The sequence below is a fragment of the Homo sapiens genome, chromosome 19, assembly GCF_000001405.40.
Source record: "Homo sapiens chromosome 19, GRCh38.p14 Primary Assembly".
NCBI classification, from domain to species: Eukaryota; Metazoa; Chordata; class Mammalia; order Primates; family Hominidae; genus Homo; species Homo sapiens.
In genome coordinates this window covers 43,701,239-43,720,426 of record NC_000019.10, presented here as the reverse complement: position 1 = coordinate 43,720,426, position 19,188 = coordinate 43,701,239, and the positions used below count along the sequence as shown (strand labels likewise).

The 19,188-nt window shown below is 50.5% G+C and overlaps 1 protein-coding gene across 4 annotated transcripts, besides 4 other annotated features; it reads right to left on the bottom strand.

Annotated features, from left to right (window-relative positions):
* Positions 1–405: 405 nt before the first annotated feature.
* On the bottom strand, positions 406–4,351 carry IRGC (immunity related GTPase cinema). 4 transcript variants are annotated; one of them, XM_011527118.4, is made up of 3 exons: positions 4,285–4,351; positions 3,478–3,550; positions 406–1,934 (listed from the first exon to the last, which is right to left on the bottom strand). In XM_011527118.4, exon 3 carries the CDS (start codon positions 1,866–1,868, stop codon positions 477–479), a length of 1,392 nt encoding a protein of 463 aa, XP_011525420.1. In that variant the 5' UTR covers positions 1,869–1,934; positions 3,478–3,550; positions 4,285–4,351; the 3' UTR covers positions 406–476. The 4 variants fall into 4 exon arrangements, with proteins under 4 accessions (XP_011525420.1, NP_062558.1, XP_005259115.1 ...); NM_019612.4 differs by lacking the exon at positions 3,478–3,550; XM_005259058.4 differs by lacking the exon at positions 3,478–3,550 and having other exon boundaries at positions 461–2,047.
* Positions 3,878–4,378: an enhancer, noted in NCBI's record as "H3K4me1 hESC enhancer chr19:44220201-44220701 (GRCh37/hg19 assembly coordinates)". NCBI's record gives its function as "activates a minimal SCP1, AML or CMV promoter by ChIP-STARR-seq in naive H9 embryonic stem cells {active_cell/tissue: H9 hESC(naive)}" and the evidence as "EXISTENCE:reporter gene assay evidence [ECO:0000049][PMID:30033119]".
* Positions 18,865–18,924: an enhancer, noted in NCBI's record as "active region_14735". NCBI's record gives its function as "activates an Ori minimal core promoter by ATAC-STARR-seq in GM12878 lymphoblastoid cells {active_cell/tissue: GM12878}" and the evidence as "EXISTENCE:reporter gene assay evidence [ECO:0000049][PMID:35858748]".
* Positions 19,015–19,064: an enhancer, noted in NCBI's record as "active region_14734". NCBI's record gives its function as "activates an Ori minimal core promoter by ATAC-STARR-seq in GM12878 lymphoblastoid cells {active_cell/tissue: GM12878}" and the evidence as "EXISTENCE:reporter gene assay evidence [ECO:0000049][PMID:35858748]".
* Positions 19,075–19,124: an enhancer, noted in NCBI's record as "active region_14733". NCBI's record gives its function as "activates an Ori minimal core promoter by ATAC-STARR-seq in GM12878 lymphoblastoid cells {active_cell/tissue: GM12878}" and the evidence as "EXISTENCE:reporter gene assay evidence [ECO:0000049][PMID:35858748]".

Sequence of the window (19,188 nt, the reverse complement as noted above, 5' to 3'; positions counted from 1 at the left end):
CCACTGCACTCCAGCCTGGGTGACAGAGCAAGATTCCATCTCAAAAAATAATAATAATAAAATAAAATAAAATAGAAAGCACCTTAGCAGGATGCAATCTCCTGTCTTGGCCCTGCTGTCCTGTGCCCCACAAATTCCTCCTGGCCACTTGGGGACCAGGGAGAAAGACACCACCAGGGAACCCTGGGCCCACCATCCATGTCTCCAACCTCCCTCTCCAGGGCACTCCTGTCCCCTTTCACTACACCCCTGTTGGCCCTGGGCCCACCTGCCTCCCTCCTCCCCTCCCCAGTGCCCCCTCCTTTGCCCTGCCCAGGACGCCGGCTCCCCTGCCTGCCAGGGACACAGGCTCCCTCCACACCCACCCCCCAGGCAACTGCAGCCCTCACATTCACCACATCGGCCTTTTTTGTTGGTAATTTGGATTTTGTTAAGACTTAGTTTGTGGGTGAGGCAGGGGGGCGGGGCTGCACTCTTTATTTCTCTTCTGAGTCGTGTTTCTTCCAGCTGTCCAGAATGTACTTAAGAAGGAGGCCGAGCTTCCTGCAGGTTGAGAGTGGGGCTTCCTCCCCACCTCCCTCCCCGGAGCCCCCCTTTTCCACGCCATTGTCACTGGCCACTTCCAAGCTGACCTCCGGCTGCGGCTCGTCATCCTCCAGGGCCTTGATGCGGACACGCTGGGCGTCCTCAGCCATCTCGTTGAGGCAGCCCTGGAGCATGGTGTAGACAGCGCCAAAGCTGATGCCGCCAGCCACCAGCGTCCCAAACACAGGGATGCCCCTCTCAAAGGCGCGGGCCACCCGCATGGCGCCGTCGGACGACTGGGAATAGAGCCGCAGGACAGTCTCAGGCGAGACCTCGTTGGCCAGTGGGGAGCGGATGACCGAGCGCAGGTCACCTGCCTGTTTGCCCACCTGCTCGGCCAGCTTGGCCAGCGAGTCGTCGTCCAGACCAAAGCTGCGGTGGTAGCCACGCAGTGAGTGGATGAGCAACGCATCATCGTAGGCGGCCGCCAGCCCTGGGACCGGCAGGGCCTGGATGACGCCCAACACCAGGGCGGTCTTGAGGACTTGCTCTTGAAGCATGGCCTTCTTCTTCTGCAAGGCCTCCAGCGAGATGTCGGGGAGCGACAGCAGGCCAGCGTGGCGCCGGTGGGAGGGCAGGTCGTGCTCCCAGGTGGACACCAGCGTGGGAAAGTCGTAGCGGGCCGGCGAGAGGTTGGACACCAGGAAGATGCGAGGGTCAGCCACGCCGGCCTCCCGCAGCCGCTCGGCACAGTGGTCTCGGATCTCCTGCAGGACAGCGGCCTCTCTGAAGCCCGACGGCCGCTGGGTGCGCGTGGCCGCCAGGTCCTCGTCCACCTTGGTGCGCACAAAGTAGAACTTCTTGCCCTGGCACAGGATCTCAGCGGCCAGGCGGGTCTCGACGGCCCCGCAGCGGCGGGGGGAGACCAGCAGGAAGAAGTCATAGCGGCTGAAGTCTACCTGCTTTAGGTACTTGTCAGCCGGGCAGCCTGGAGAGCCGGCTCCTGGCAGGTCCCAGAGGGTCACGTCAGGGAACTGTGGGTGTGGATAGGGCGACGGTTGCATCGTGGTCTCCATGACGCCCGTGAGAGCCGCGCCAGGGTCCTCGGCCTCCAGGCCACGCAGGGCATTGATGAGGGAGGACTTGCCCGCGCCCGACTCGCCCGTGACGCCCACCTCCAGGCGGATGCTTTCCGTGGAGGCCAGCAGCTCCTGGAGGTGAGAGGCGGCCTGGGGGAGGTCACCCGACTCAAAGGCTGTGCGCAGGGCCTCCAGCCTTTCCTTGGCCATAAGGATGGTGTTTTCCTCCTCCCCAGGCACCACGGGCAACTTTGAAGTAGCCATGGTGGCCAGTGGTTCAGAGGGTGGCGGGGGACAGGGGAGAGTCACAGGATGCGTGATCCTCAGCGCCTGCAGAGGAGAAGGGAGCCATTCACACCTCCTGGGCCTTGGCATGGGGCAGGGAGAGACAGATACCACGGATGTGAAGGGAGTCGCCCTGGAAGCCCACAGCTCTCTTTTTCCTTCAAGAATTGGGGACACATTTTTGGCACAAGTTAGAGGGCTTTGGGGTCTGGCAGGCCCAGGTTCACATCCCTTTTCTGCCACTAACTTGCTGTGTGACCAGGGGCAAAATGAAGCACCTCTCTGGGTAATGGGCATGACCACCAAGCAGCCTCTTGGAGCACTATTGGAGTCTCCAGGGTAACCTAGGCACAGGTCAGTTTTCTGGGTGTATGTGTGCCCTGGAGGGTTCTGTGCTTAGAATGGCCCAGTGCTTGGTTTAATGCTCTGCTGACACTAGCTGAAATTGTTTGTTTGTTTGTTTGTTTGTTTGAGACAGGGTCTCTCTGTCATCGAGGCTGGAGCACAGTGCTACGATCATGGCTCATTGCAGCCTTGATCTCCTTGGCTCTAGCAATCCTCCCACCTCAGCCTCCTGAACAGCTGGGACCACAGGCGCATGCCACCATGCCCAGCTACTTTTTAAATTTTTTGTAGAGATGGGAGTCTCACTATGTTGTCCCAGCTGGTCTTGAACTTCCGAGATCAAGGTCCTCCTGCCTCAGCTTCCCAGAGCGCTGGGATTAAGGGCATGAGCCACTATGCCTGGCCTGAAATTCTTTATAATATTTGAACCAGGGGCCCCATATTTTCATTTCGTACTGGGCCTTGCAAATTATATAGCCAGGGCAAATTACATAGCCAGGGCTGCATAGGAAAGGGTGGTACAGGCCCATTCAGAGGAAACAGCTGCACTCCTGCGGTGGCTGGGATTGGAGGGTAGGGTGGAGGGGACCCAGACCCGGAGCCAGACTGCCTGGGATCAAATCCTGGCTCCACCACATACTTACTGAGTGATGTGAGGCAAGTTACTTAACTCTCTCCTCACTCTCCTCATCTGAACACTGAGAATGATACCTACAATCCTGGCAAACCACCTCCTAGGATCTCTGTGACTTGAATGAGTTATGACATAAAGCAGCCCATAAAACGGCGCCTGGCTCAGGGCAGGTGCCTCGTGTCATTGGCATCACCATCATCGTCATTATTCTTATCATTAGTAATATTCTTAGCTGTGTGACTTTGAGCAAGTCCTCGCCCTGTCTGAGCCTCAGCTGCCCCGTGGGGGATACTCCTCCCCACCTCGCAGGGCTGCTGTGATGCCCACAAACCCCGTTCAGCTAGCCCTAGGCTGACTTTGGGTTCAGACGCCCTTGGGTTCGGGAAGCCAGACATGGGGACCACCTGGACACCAGGAGTCATTTCCATGAAACCCCACCCCTGCCATGGCAGCCCTTGCCTCCCGGGGTTCAGTTCCCCTCCCACCGCCCAGAGCTCCTGTCGTGATGGTCCCCCCTCAGATCCCTCCTCCTCACCAGGAGCTTCCCTGGTCCTCCCTCTTCCCACTCACCCTCCTCTGGCCCATCATCTCTAAAATACATTTACTCACTAAGGGTCTTCAGGGTGCCCTGGGAGAGCTGCTCATGTCTGGGATCACTGTCCCCATTTGACAGGGAGAAGGACTGAGGCTCAGACAAGACAAATGAGGTCTCCTCATCCAGAGGCATAGCCAGGACCCCAACCCAGGTCCCCAGGCTCCTTCACCCACCTAGAGAGCTACTCTCCCTTCAGCTGCATGTCCCTGCCTCCTGCATTGTCTCCTTGCCCCCTGCACCCCGTCTCTTCACCTCCTACCACTCACCCCATCCTCTGCTACCCCACTCCACCCCCCACAGAAATATGTCCTTAAGACATTGTTCCCGGCTGGGCATGGTGGCTCACGCCTGTAATCCTAGCACTTTGGGAGGCCGAGGTGGGTGGATCACTTGAGGTCAGGAGTTCGAGACCAGCCTGGCCAACATGGTGAAACTCCATCTCCACTAAAAATACAAAAATTAGCCAGGTGTTGTGGCGCATGCCTGTAGTCCCAGCTCTTGAACCCAGGAGGCGGAGGTTGCAGTGAGCCAAGATTGCACCACTGCACTCCAGCCTGGGCGACAGAGCGAGACTCCGTCTCAGAAAAAAAAAAAGGAAAAAAAAAAGACATTGTTGCCTCCAGATCTGAGCCTCCTATCCTGGGTGTGCCCTCTCCCTAGTATGGTCTGCGGTGGGAAGAGTAGGAACCTGGAACAGGTCCTGGCAGCAAGGGGCAGACAAGTCAGTGGTTGGAATTTGGGCTGAGGGGGTCCGGATTAGACCATAAGCTCCTGCTCCGCCCACGCACAGGGGCCCAGCGAGAGAGCCCTGGGGGACTCACCTGCCCTGCAGGCTCTCCCTCTCCCCTCACACTCTCCCCACTGATAGGATCTCCTTCCCTCTTAGCCAAGGTCAGACACCGTTGCTAGGACCCATTATCATAGCAAGCAGCAGCTTATTGGTCAGCCAGACCTGGTGCAATAATGCGACAGTGATGTCAGGGGGTGGGGCCCGGAGGTGGAGCAGGGACCCCAAGCCCCAGCTGCTCATGGGGTCACCACCCACTCACACTGGGCCCTCCAGTTCCCCTGAAGACTCCAGAGAGATCTTTCTAACACCAAGACCTGTTCAAAATCCTCCATGGTCTCCATCACCCCCCAAGGACAAAGTCTCAGATTCACAGATTGGTTTCCAAGGGCTTGGCCCTGCTACCACTCCACCCTCCACCCAGGGGACTGTCAGTTCCCCAGAGAAGTGTGAAAGTTGATGATACAAATTCGGTCATTGCTGGTGGGCACAGTGGCTCACGCCTGTAATGCCAGCACTTTGGGAGGCCGAGGCGAGTGCATCACTTGAGGCCAGGAGTTTGAGATCAGCCTGGGCAATGTGGTGAAACTCCATCTCTACTAAAAATACAAAAATTAGCCAGATGTGGTGCATGCATGTAGTCCCAGCTACTCGGGAGGCTGATCTGCTATCTTGTAAGCCCAATAATTTAGTCATTGATTTCTTTTTTTTCTTTTTTTGAAACAGTGTCTTGCTCTGTCACCCAGGCTGGAGTGCAGTGACACAATCTTGGCTCACTGCAACCTCCGCCTCCTGGGTTCAAGTGATTCTCCTGCTTCAGCCTCCTGAGTAGCTGGGACTACTAGCATGCACCACCAGGCTTGGCTAATTTTTTTTTTTTTTTTTTTTTTTTAGTAGAGGTGGGGTTTCACCATGTTGCCTAGGCTGGTCTTGAACTCCTGACCTCAGGTTATCCGCCTGCCTCGCCTCCCAAACCTCCTGACCTCAGGTTATGCCGCCTCCCAAAGCGCTAAGATTACAGGTGTAGCCACTACACCCGGCCCCTTCTTGTCCTTTATAAGTGTCTCTGTCCTGTCTCCCCTCCGGGCTTCCTCTCTGCCCAGGCCAGGCTCCACAGGGCCTTCTCCATTCTCCTCTTGTAGGGAATTTACAATAACGCTACTCAGAGGATTTTCCTGACCATCTGCAGGCCAGTTCTGGAAAGGAGCCTCTGAGAACAACTAAGGAGAGAGAGGCCCAGAAGGGGAATAGACTAGCTCAGAGCCACCCTGAGAGCTGGGGAAGAGTGGGCTGTTGGCCGCATAGTACAGAGTTCTTAAGCCACAGGTGAAAGGGAGGTGCAGGGCAAAAGACACACGACTCACTCATGCTCTCACTGACTGACACAAACACACAGAGCTGAAGAGAGTGAACAACATGGTTCTCAGACTTCCCCGGACACCGAGCACACAGACCAGCAGACAGCAAGGACTCCTTCCCAAAATGCATGGACACGCACCCCTGGCCCAAGAGAGAAGGGAAAGACACAGAAAGAGCCTCAAATACAGAGTTACTTCGTGGCTGGGCATGGCGGCTCACTCACGCCTGTAATCTCAGCAATTTGGGAGGCCGAGGTAGGAGGTTTGCTTGAGCCCAGGAGGTTGAGACCAGCCTGGGCAACATAGCAAGACCCTATCTCTTTTTTTTTTTTTTTTTTTTGAGACGGAGTCTCGCTCTGTCTCCCACGCTGGAGTGCAGTGGTGCAATCTCGGCTCACTGCAAGCTCCGCCTCCCGGGTTCCTGCCATTCTCCTGCCTCAGCCTCCCGAGTAGCTGGGACTACAGGCGCCTGCCACCGCGCCTGGCTAAATTTTTTTGTATTTTTTAGTAGAGACGGGGTTTCACCGTGTTAGCCAGGATGGTCTCGATCTCCTGACCTCGTGATCCGCCCACCTCGGACTCCCAAAGTGCTGGGATTACAGGCGTGAGCCACCGTGCCTGGCCAAGACCCTATCTCTTAAAAAAAAAAAAAAAATGAGCCAGGTATGATGGTGCACATCTGTAGTCCCAGCTACTCAGGAGGCTGAGGTGGGAGGATTGCTTGAGCCCAGGAGTTCAAGGCTGCAGTGAGCCGTGATCATGCTACTGCACTCCAGCCTGGGTGACTGAGCAAGATTCTGTCTCTAAACGAAACAAAACAACAGAGTCACTGAAGGAAAGCAAGACTCAGACAAACACACACTTACCAAAGCCTCGCAAACACACACATTCCGGGACACAGATGTGCAGACTTTAAGAGACACAGTTACACACTGACAACATATACAGAAACCCCGAAACCCACTGACTCCATTCAGGAACCTCATTCATTCTGCTGCAGCAGCTAGGGCTCCAGAGATGCATCAAACCCAGGCACTGCTTCAGGGGCTCCAGGCCCGAGAAAATGGAGATTATTGCAGCCCAGGATGATTGTGGACCAAGAAAGAGAGCCACTGCCACCTGCACACATGCACCGATGCAGACTGGCATGTTCCCAGGGATGCCCCTAGCAGCTCCTGAGAGCACCAGCCAGAGAGAGAGGGGTTGCACCCTGCCTATCTGCATGCTGGAAACGCAGCAATGGACAAGACAGCCAGGCTCTGCCCCCACAGGACTCAGAGTCCAGTGGTGGAGTCAGATCCATCCCAAGATAATGATGACAGAGGGGGCAGCACTGGGATGGGGGACCCCAGAGGGCTGTGGGAGCACAAAGGAGGAAGCCCGACTCAGCCTGGGAGTCAGGGAGGGCTTCCTGGAGGAGGGGGCACCTGACCTGAGATCCAAAGGATGAGTAGGAGTGAGCCAGATGGCACATTAGGGAGTTGCATCCCAGGCTAAGGGACCAGCCTCTGCAAAGAACCTGAGTTGAGAGAGAACTTTCATTCGTTCAATAATAAACTCAATTTCAGGCACACCTCATTTTATTGCATGCAGCTTTATTGTCCTTCACAGATACTATGTGGTATTTTTTGCGGGGGGGCGGGGATGTGGTGGAGAAGAGGGTCTTGTTCTGCCACCCAGGCTGGAGTGCAGTGGCGTGATCTCTGCTCACTGCAACCTCCACCTCCTGGGCTCAAGCAATCTCTACTACCTTTGCCTCCCAAGTAGCTGGGACCACAAGCACGCGCCACCATGCCCAACTCTTGTTTTATTTATTTATTTATTCATTTATTTATTGAGACGGAGTTTTGCTCTTGTTGCCCAGGCTGGAGTGCGTGGTATGATCTTGGCTCGCTGCAACCTCCACCTCCCAGGTTCAAGGGCTTCTCCTACCTCAGCCTCCCGAGTAGCTGGGACTACAGGCATGCGCCACCATGCCCGGCTTGTTTTGGTATTTTTAATAGAGATGGGGTATTGCTATCTTGGCCAGGCTGGTCTTGAACTCCTGGCCTCAAGTGATCTTCCCGCCTTGGCCTCCCAAAGTGCTGGGATTACAGGCATGAGCCACCCCGCCTGGCCTGATACTATGGTTTTTACAAATTGAAAGTTCGTGGCAACCCTGTGTCCAGCAAGCCCGTTGGTGCCATTTTTCCAACAGCACGTGCTCATTTCATGTCTCTGTGTCACATTTTGGAAATTCTCACAACATGTCAAACTTTTTCATCATCATTATCTCTGGTATGGTGATCTTTGATGTTAGCATTGTAATCATTTCGGGGCACCATAAACTGTGCCCACAGGTAACAACAAACTTAATTGATAAACATTGTATGTGTTCTGACTGCTCCACTGACTGGCCATTTTCCTGTCTCTCTCCTTCTCCTTGCACCTCCCTCTTCTGTGAGACACAACTATAATGAAATTAGGCCAATTAATGACTCTAAAATGGCCTCCAAGTATCCAAGTAAAAGGAAGAGTCACGTGTCTCTCACTTTAAATCAAAAGCTAGAAATGATTAAGCTCAGTGAAGAAGGCGTGTCCAAAGCTGAGATAGGGGCCAGGCATGGTGACTCACACCTGTAATCCCAGCACTTTGAGAGGCCGAGTTGGGAGGATCCCTTGAGGCCAAGAGTTTGAGACCAGCTTGGGCAATATCGTGAGACCCCATCTCTACAAAAAATGTTTAAAGTTAGCTGAGTGTGGTGACACTTGCCTGTAGTTCTGGCTACTTGGGAGGCTGATGAGGGAAAATTGTTTGATTCCAAGAGTTCAAGGTTACAGTGAGCAATGACTACAACACCGTACTCCAGCCTGGGCAACAGAGCCAGACCCTGTCTCAAAAAAACAAAAAGGCCGGGCATGATGACTCATGCCTGTAACCCAGCGCTTTGGGAGGCTGAGGCGGGTGGATCACTTGAGGTCAGGAATTTGAAACCAGCCTGGCCAAAATGACAAAATCTCGTCTCTACTAAAAATACAAAAATTAGCTGGGCGCGGCGATGTGCACCTGTAATTGCAGATACTTGGCAGGCTGAGGCAGAAGAACTGCTTGAACCTGGGAGGCGGATGTTGCAGTGAGCTGAGATCATGCCACTGTACTCCATCCTGAGTGACAGAGCAAGACTCCATCTCAAAAAACAAACAACAACAAAAAAAAGACTTCAGTGGAGGCATTTACTGCAGATGTGGTAGAAATAGCAAGAGAACTAAAATTAGAAGTAGAGCCTGAAGATGTGACTGAATTGCTGCAATCTCATGATCAAACTTGAATAGGCGAGGAGTTGCTTCTTATGGATGAGCAAAGAAAGTGGTTTCTTGAGATGGAATCTACGCCTGGTGAAGATGCTGTGAATATTGTTAAATTGACAACAGGGGATTTAGGATATGACATAAACTTACTTGATAAGGCAGTCGCAGGGATTGAGAGGATTGCCTTCAATTTTGAAAGTTCTGCCATGGGTAGAATGCTATCAAACAGCGTCGCATGCTACAGAGAAATCTTTTGTGAAAGGAAGAGGCAAGTGATGCAGCAAACTTCATTGTTGTCTTTATTTATTTATTTATTTATTGGGACCCAGTCTCACTCTGTCACCCAGGCTGGAGCGCAATGGCGCGATCTCAGATCCCTGCAGCCTCCGCCTCCGAGGTTCAAGCAATTCTCCTGCCTCCGCCTCCCGAGTAGCCGAGATTACAGGCATGCACCACCACGCCTGGCTAATTGTTGTATTTTTAGTAGAGATGGGGTTTCACCAAGTTGGTCAGGCTGGTCTCAAACTCCTGGCCTCAGTTGATCTGCCTGCCTCGACCTCCCAAAGTGGGATTACAGATGTGAGCCACGGCACCCAGTCAATTGTCTTATTTTTAAAATTGCAGCCAGACCCAGTGGCTCATACCTGTAATCCCAACACTTTGGGAGGCCAAGACAGGAGGATTGCTTGAGCCCAGGAGTTCGAGACCACCCTGGGCAATATAGGGGGACCCCATCTCTACAAAAAAATTTTAAAATTAGCCAGGCATGGTGGCGTGTGCCTGTGGTTTGTTACTCAGGAGGCTGAGGTGGGAGGATTGCTTGAGCCATGGAGGTCAAGGCTGCAGTGGGCTGTGATCACATCACTGCACTTCAGCATGGGCAACAGTGAGACTCTGTCTCTTAAAAAAAATTGTTAAAATGTGGGAAAAGAAAAAGGAAAACGAATCTCTCTTAGAATCAATGAAGGTGATTTGTGAGTGTCTACTCTGTGTCCCTCCGGGGTGAGAATACAGCAGTGATGGGACGGCTCTGCCCCACAGAGAGGAGGTTGATGCAAAGTATACTTACTACCTCCAAGAACCCCTTGGTTGATGTTGGGGACCCAGTGGTGACTGAGACAGCACCAACCCTATGGACTCTGAGTCTTGTAGGGAACACACCTCCGTCCTCAGACAGTGATGACCCACAGTGGTTACAATGGGGTTGAAGCTGCCCAGAGAGGTGTGGGAGCCATGGGGGTTGCCTGACCCAGCCTGGGGGTGGGGGTGGAGTCAGTGAAGGATTTTTGGAGAAAGTTCATTCATTCAACACATGCTTTCCAGACACCTACTGTGAGTCAGGCCCTGGCTGGTCGAGGCTGGAGACACAGCAGTGAAAAAGACAGTCCCTGAACGATTTCTTCTGCCCACTCCCAAGCCTCCTTTCCTCCCTGCCCTTTCTCTCTGTGTCTCTTAGAAATTCTAAAGCACTTTCCTAGGAATATCTACATGTGGTGGCCTCCACCTTCTCTCCACTCTCCACAACCTGGGTAAACCTGAAGTCAGTCCTCAGGGATTCATTCATTCATTCATTCATTCATTCATTCATGTAAATACTGGCTGCCTTTTAGGTGCTAGGCACAGTTTTAGGTACTGATACAGTGATGAATAAGACACAGAAGGCCCTTGCTCTCGTGGAGCTTATATATTTTTTAAATATGTAGAGAATAAACAAAAGTAATTAAGATAGTGTCAAGTAGTGATAAGAAAAAAGAAGAAAAAGGGCCAGACATGGTGGCTTATGACTGTAATCCCAGCACTTTGGGAGGCCGAGGTGGGTGGATCACTTGAGGTCAAGAGTTTGAGACCAGCCTGGCCAACATGGCAAAACCCCATCTCTACTAAAACTACAAAATAAGTAAATAACGAAATAAATAAATAAATAAATAAATAAATAAATAAATAAATAAACAAAAGAATAGTCAGGTGTGGTGGTGGGCACCTATAGTCCCAGCTGCTCGGGAGGCTGAGCCATGAGAATTGCTTGAATCCAGGAGGCAGAGGTTGCAGTGAGTCGAGATTGTGCCACTGCAATCCAGCTGGGGTGATAGAGCAAGACTCTGTCTCAAAAAACAACAAAAAACAAAACAAAAACAGTCCTTGCTCTCATGGAGCTTATAAACAAAAGTAATTAAGATAGTGTCAAGTAATGATAAGAAAAACAAAGAAAAAGCAAGCAAGAGGATAGAGGTGGGCAGTTGGGGAAGGGGTTTGGGGAAGGGATAGACTGCCACTGGCAATTTTCCCTTCCCTGTGGGCATGTACCACTCTTTCTAGCAAGAGGCAGAGTCTCTTTCCCCTTCCCTTAAATTTGGGCCAGTCTGGTGACATTCTTTGTCACAAGAAGTGACACTCTGGGACTCCCAAGCCCAGGCCTTAACAGGTGGCAGCTCCTGTTTTCTCCTTCTTTCTCCAGAACTACTATGCAAAGAGGTCCTGCTACCGTGCTGGAGAGACCTCATGTAGAGACTGCAGCCACATGGAGATGAGCTTGAAGCCATCCAGGACATTTCAGCCACAGATGAGCTCCAGCTGAATGCAGGCACAGGTGTAACCCCAGCCAACACCACATGGGGGGCAGAAGAACCATACAGCTGAGCCCAGCCAACCCACAGGCTTTCCAGAAACAAGCCAGGAGTGAGGTGGGACTCTTCTACATTCAGTGACTCAATTTGGTCAGAACTAAGGACAATGAGGAACTGGCCTTGGGTGCAAAATTTAAGGGAGTGCGAAAAATTGAGTCATTGAGATAAATTATATTTTAATGCAATTTTTAATGCAATATTTTAACTAATAAAAATTAATGCCAAAAAATCCATGGTTTGTTCTTTTGTTTTTTTAGACAGAGTCTTCCTCTGTCGCCCAGACTGGAGTGTGATCTGGGTTCATTGCAACCTCTGCCTCCCGGGTTCAAGCGATTCTCGTGCCTCAGCCACTTGAGTAGCTGAAATTACAGGCGCCTGCCACCATGCCCAGCTAATTTTTGTATTTTTAGTAGAGACAGGGTTTCACCATGTTGTCCAGGCTGGTCTCAAACCCCTGACCTCAAGTGATCCACCCTCCTTGCCCTCACAAAATGTTGGGCTTACTGGCGTGAGCCACCGTGCCCAGCCCTGATATTTTCATGAACAAAATATCAAAATTCTAAATAAAGACCAATGCCACACCAAGCCCTAAATATACACTCCAGCTTTGATGGAAAAATAACTCATCAATAATGTTTTCAAAATCTACATCTTGGCTTATTTCATTTTCAATTGAGAGAATCTCCACGCTTGACAATTTCTCTTAACCAAGTGATGATGTTCAATAATTTTTAATTAACTTAAGCTGAAATAAAATTATAATACATTTTATATTGTTGTAATTAAAATATTTTAACTTGAAATAGCGTGAGTTTTAATACACCCACTCAAGAATTTTTCAATATTATTTTGACTACTTTAATGTTCTGGAAAAAAATTAGCCACTGAAAAAACATGAAGGGCCAGGCACGGTGGCTCACACCTGTAATCCCAGCACTTTGGGAGGCTAAGGCGGGCAGATGACCTGAGATCAGGAGTGTGAGACCAGCCTGGCCAACATGGCAAAACCCTGTCTCTACTAAAAATACAAAAATTAGCTGGGCATGGTGGCATGTGCCTGTAGTTCCAGCTACTTGGGAGGCTGAGGCAGGAGAATTGCTTGAACTCGAGGGGCGGTGGTTGCAGTGAGCCAAGATCATGCCACTGCACTCCAGCCTGGGTGACAGAAAGAGACTCTGTCTCAAAAAAACAAAAAAATTACATGAAGGCCAGGTGCAGAGGCTCACACCTGTAATCTCAGCACTTTGGGAGGCCGAGGTGGGCGGATTGCTTCAGCCCAGGAGTTCGAGACCAGCCTGCGAAACGTGACAAAACCCGGTCTCTACAAAAATTAGCTGAGCTTGGTGGCAGGCGTCTATAGCCCCAGCTACTTTGGAGGCTGTGGTAGGAGGATGGCTTGAGGCCAGGAGGCGGAGGTTGCATTTAGCTGAGATCAAGCCAGTACACTCCAGCTTGGGCAACAGAGCCAGGCCTTGTCTCAAAAACACAAAACAAAAATGAAACCATGACAGAGGGGCATGGGTAAATAGTGCCTTTTGTGTCAGGCCCCACGTGGCTCAGCGCAACACTGGTCAGAACCCCACGTTGTGACCTTGGAAGGTTCAGAGAGAGAGGGTGGGAGGAGGCAGAAGGGATGGCTGGGAAGTTGGATTCGGCCTGATGGAGAGAAATAGGTGTTCTCCATGCAGGAAGGCCCCAGATGAAACACTTGAGGCAAATCTGACAACACTTATTAATGAATTAAACGCACACATTTCCTTCAGTTGAGCACCCCTGCTCCTAAAGATCTATCTGATGGAACTTTTCATGACTGAAGGAATTTCATTGACCACTCCCTGGAGCCTGCAGGGGAAAAAGGATGTCTAGGGGGCCCCATCTGGATGGAAATGGCACATGGGGAGTGGGGCACACCCGGGGAGGTGAGGGCCACTTCACTGTTTCTTACTTCTTCTCTCTTTTTTTTTTTCTTGAGACAGAGTCTCGCTCTGTCACCCAGGCTGGAGTGTAGTGACATGATTTAAGCTTACTGCAACCTATGCCTCCCAGGTTCAAGCGATTCTGCCTCAGCCTCCGGAGTAGCTAGGATTACAGGTGACCGCCACCACACCTGGCTAATTTTTCTATTTTTCAGTAAAGACAGGGTTTCACCATGTTGGCCAGGTTGGTCTCAAACCCCCAACTTCAAATGGTCCTCCCACCTTGGCCTCCCAAAGTGCTGGGATGACAGGTGTGACCCACCGCACCTGGCCTCTTACTTCTAATTTTTAAGTGTAACTTTCAATTTCATTTAATTACACATTTTTGAATTTTTTAAAACATGCATGAAAGGGATATGATATCCAAGCTTTTTTTTTTTTCTGAGACAGAGTCCTGCTCTGTTGCCCAGGCTGGAGTGCAGTGGTGCAATCTTGGTTCACTGCAACCTCCGCCTCCTGGATTCAAGCGATTCTCCTGCCTCAGCCTCCTGAGTAGCTGGGATTACAGGCATGCAACACCACGCCCGGCTAATTTTTGTATTTTTAGTAGAAACAGGGTTTCACCATGTTGGTCAGGCTGGTTTCGAACTCCTGACCTCGTGATCCACCAGCCTCAGCCTCCCAAAGTGCTGGAATTACAGGTGTGAGCCACTGCACCTGCCCCAAACTTTTAAAATTCATTAGAAATTATTCAGGACACAGAGACACATAACAGATGATAACTGTCTTGTCAGGAGGATGTTTACTGCTGCATCTCTCATAGTGGGAGGGACAAAAGAGAAAACAGCGTCAATTCCCCTCAATAGGACGATGACTGCTGAATAAATGTTGGTAGATCCATGCCATAGGCCATGGAAACCACACCACACAGCCATTAGAAAGGGTGAATCAAATGACTCGGAGGGTTGAGAAAAGCAAGATGCAGAGAGTTGGCCAGGCACAGTGGCTCTTGCCTGTCATCCCAGCACTTTGGGATGCCAGGGTGGGCAGATCGCTTGAGCCTAGTAGTTCGAGACCAGCCTGGGCAACATAGTGAGATCCCATCTCTACAAAACATATACATACAGCTCAGCATGAGGGTGCATGCCTGTGGTCCCAGCTACGTGGGAGGCTGAGGTGGAAGAATCACTTGAGCCCGGGAGATCAAGGCTGCAGTGAGCTATGAGCACCCCTATGAAGGAGTCTGTGGGGGAGAGAAGAGAAAGGTGAGGAGAGAGCCAAGCAGAAAAGAAGAGAAAACTTTCCTTAAAAAATTAAAGGTGGCTGGGCATAGTGGCTCACCCTGATAATTGTAATCCCAGCACCTTGGGAGTTCGAGGCAGGAAAGTTGCTTGAGCTCAGGAGTTTGAGAACAGCCTGGGCAACATAGGGAGACCAGAAAGAGAAAGGAAGGAACCGGGCATGGTGGCTCATGCCTGTAATCCCGCACTTTGGGAGGCCGAGGCGGGTGGATCACCTGAGGTCAGGGGTTCAAGACCAGCCTGACCAACATGGTGAAACCCCGTCTCTACTAAAAATACAAAAAAAAAAAAAATTAGCCAGAAGCAGTGGCATGCACCTGTAGTCCCACCTACTTGGGAGGCTGAGAGAATCACTTGAACCTGGGAGGCGGAGGTTGCAGAGAGTTGAGATCATGCCACTGCACTCCAGCCTGGGCAACAGAGTGAGCCTCCATCTCAAAAAAAAAAAAAAAAGGAAGAAGGGAGGGAGGGAGGGAGAGAGAGAGAGAAAGAAAGGAAGGAAGGAAAGGAGAGAGAAGCGGAGGGGAAAGGAGGGGAGGGGAGGGAAAGGAGAAGGAAAGGAAAGGAAGAAGGAAGGAAGGAAGAAAGAGCTGGGCATGGTGGCACATGACTGTGGTCCCAGCTACTCAGGAGGCTGAGGCAGGAGGATCACTTGAGCCCAGGAGGTTGAGGCTGCAGTGAGCTATTGATAGCACCATTGCCCTCCAGCCTGGGCAACAGAGTGAGACCTTGTCTGAAAAAAAAAAAATCAAAAGCATGCCTGTAGGTGGCAAAATTGGAAATACCATGTTCAGGATAGAGGTGATCTCAGGTGAGGAGAGAGGAAAGGAGCTGTGGCCAGGGACAGCTATGGCCACTGGGTATGTATTTCAAATGTTTTGATGTTTCTTGTCTTTCAACTGAGTGCCAAGAGACTCCACTTATTCTTTATTTGTTTTTGTTTGTTTTAAATAATTTATAGTAAAATTTTAAAACTTGAATAATATGCCTACATGTATGCCCCTATGGAAAATTAGCAATGTACAATAACATCAAATTCTTCACCCAGGTTAGCCCCACCCCATCCCCAAAGTCCCTTTTACCCCTGCAGATTCCAGGACCATTAAATGACTGTTTTCCACAAATGTTTCCTGACCACCTGCCATGGACTCTGGACTCAGCCAGGACAGGTCATATCCGGGACCCATCCCCCGAGACTCCAGTCTGGCAGAGATGTTGCTTCCTTCCTCACCACCCCCAGGTTCCTTCACACCCATACCTTGGGGTAGGCAACCTTCACAACGGGAGGCCATGTTGGGTAACAGACAGAAACGGGACCCATGACCCAAAGGGCACTCCCCCTCCCCAATAATGACAGTAAGGGCCACCATTTACCTGTGTTGAACTCTGAATTCCAGGCGCTGTTCTGAGTTCTGTGTATGTGTGGACTCTCTCAACCTTTGTGTCCACTCTGTGAGCAGGAACCACTATTGTCCCATTTCACAAATGGGAAAGCTGAGGTCAAGGTACTCACCTGAGGCCACTAGTAACTGAACTAGTGACTGGGCTCAGTGGCTCACAAAATGGTGGTAATCCCAGCATTTTGGGAGGCCGAGGCAGGCAGATTGCCGGAGCTCAGGAGTTGGAGACCAGCCTGGGCAACATGGCAAAACTCCATCTCTACTAAATATACAAAAATTAGCTGGGCATGGTGGCACGCCTGTAATCCCAGCTATTGGGGAGGCTGAGGGAGGAGAATCACTTGAACCTGGGAGGCAGAGGCTGCAGTGAGCTGAGTTTGCGCCACTTCACTCCAGCCTGAGTGACAGAGTGAGACTCTGTTTCCAAAGGTAAAAAACAAAAACAAAAACAAAAAAACAACTAGTAACTGGCAAAGTGTTGGCTTTCGAACCCAGACAGACTGGAACCTGAGTACATCCTCTGAACCACTATGCTGAGCTCTGTGGCTATGTCTCTTGTACGCATATTCAACTAGTCACTTTTTTTTTTTTTTGAGTCAGGGTCTCACTCTGTCGCCCAGGCTGGAGTGCAGTGGCGCGATCGCAGCTCACGGCAGCCTCAACCTCCCAGGCTCAAGTGATCCTCCCACCTCAGCCTCCTGAGTAGCTGGGAACACTGGTGTGTGCCCCCACACCCAGGCTAATTTTTGATTTTTTTGTAGAGACAGGTGAACTAGTCACTTTTGATATGAGCTTTCTATGAAGGATTTAGAAGAATGTCACAGATCCATGGGTGAAGGGAGATCTCCCCTGAAGGATTAGGATATTCTAGGCCTTCTGCAAACAGGCAGGGATGGGTGTGGGTTATGCTAAGCTCTCAGTATGCTTTATTTTATTCCATCCTCCCTCCCAGAAAGGATGTGTCCGTCCTACAAGAGTCGAAAGCATGGGCTCTGATGCACAGGGAAGTATTTATGGGTGAAATATGATATCTGGGATTTGCTTTAAATGTCTCAGCACAAAAAGGAAAGAAGGGAAGAGGGAGGGAATATAGGAAGGCAAGAAGGGAGAAAGGAAGAAAGAAGTATGAAGGAGAGGAGGGAGAAAGAGAGAGAGGAGGAAAGAAGGGAGAAAGGAAGGAGGGAGAGAGAAAGAGCAAAGGAGGGAGGGTAAAAGCAAAGGAAAGGCCAGGAGCAGTGGCTCACGTTGTAATCCCAGCACTTTGGGAGGCCAAGGCGGGCGGGTCACTTGAGGTCAGGAATTCGAGACAGGCCTAGCCAACAAGGTGAAACCCCGTCTCTACTAAAAATACAAAAATCAGCTGGGCACGGTAATGCGTGCCTGTAATCCCAGCTACTCTGGAGGCTGAGGCAGGAGAATCGCTGGAACCTGGGTGGCGGAGGTTGCAGGGAGCCGAGATCACGCCACCGCACTCCAGCATGGGCAACAGAGCAAGAGACTCCATCTCAAAAAAAAAAAAGCAAAAGAGAGAGGTGAGGAGGGAGGAAGAGGGGAAGGTGTAGGAAAGGAGGAGGCAGGGAAGGGGGAAGGAAGAGAGAGATAATTTGGCAAAATGTGCATAATTTTGGACACTGAGAGATTGATACTGAAGGGTCATTTAATGACTGCTTCCAGCTGCAAACATCTCCTGGGCGCCTGCTATGGGCTCTGGGCTCAGTCACATTTTGGTCCCATCATAGATTGGGGTATCAGTCTGTCATAGATATTATACTATTTTCTCTACTTTTGTGTATATTTGGACATTTTCTTAATGTTTAAGGGGGGGAAATTTTATCTTCTAGAGTCAGACAGATGTGTGTTCAGTCCCAATGTTCTTCATACTAGCAGTCTCTTAGCCTCCTTCAGCCTCAGTTTCTTCCTCTATACAATGTGGATAAATAATAGCACAGTCCTCATGATTAACAACCTGAAGACATGACTATTTCAATTGGTTGAAAGCTTAGGGTGGGCCAAGCCTTGTGCTTAATGTACCTTACAATAACACCTTACAATATGGGAACACAAGGCTCAGAGATGTTATGAAACTTGTCCAAGACTACACTGCAGATAAATTGTGAATCCACACCACAAACCCAGGTCTGTTTGAGTCTAAAGATCTTTTATTTTTTTTCAATTTTTTTATTTTAATTTTTTTTTTTTTCCTGAGACGGAGTCTCACTTTGTCGCCCAGGCTGGAGTGCAGTGGCGCGATCTTGGCTCACTGCAAGCTCCACCTCCCAGGTTCACGCCATTCTCCTGCCTCAGCCTCCCGAGTAGCTGGGACTACAGGTGCCCACCACCACGCCTGGCTAATATTTTTTTTTTTTTGTATTTTTAGTAGAGACGGGGTTTCACCATGTTAGCCAGGATGGTCTTGATCTCCTGACCAGCTGGGACTACAGCTATACCTGTAGTCCACCACCATGCTAGGCTAACTTTTCAATGTTTTGTAGAGATGGGATCTTGCTATATTGCCCAGGCTGGTCTTGAACTCCTGGCCTCAAGCAATCCTCCTACCTCAGCCTCCCAAAATCACACTGTGATTACAGGCATGAACCACTGCGTCTGACCCACATTAACTGTTTCTTACTGCATCTGCCTTGGAGCCTTTGCCTTTCCAGTTCCCTCTGCCTGGAATGTCCTCCTCCCCCACCTCAGACAACTGCATGGCCTTCTCCCTTGCCCCACGTAGGTCTTTACTTCCTCAATTAGGTCTTTACTTACGTCACCTTACTGAGGCTCTTACTCACCATGTATAAGATCATATCTCTTTGGCAGCGTTCCCCATTCTCCTTCCCCGCACTGTTTCCTTCCTAGTACTCACTGATATGTGATGTACGATATGTGATATTTATTTATTATGTGTCTCCTCCACTAAAATACCACTTCCATAAGAGCACAGAATTTTGTCTGTATCGCCAGTGTCTCATTTACAAAAGAATACATAGCTTGTGACTGATAAAGATTTGTTAGATGAATGTTAAATGAATTGTTTCTATTCTTTCGGTTGGG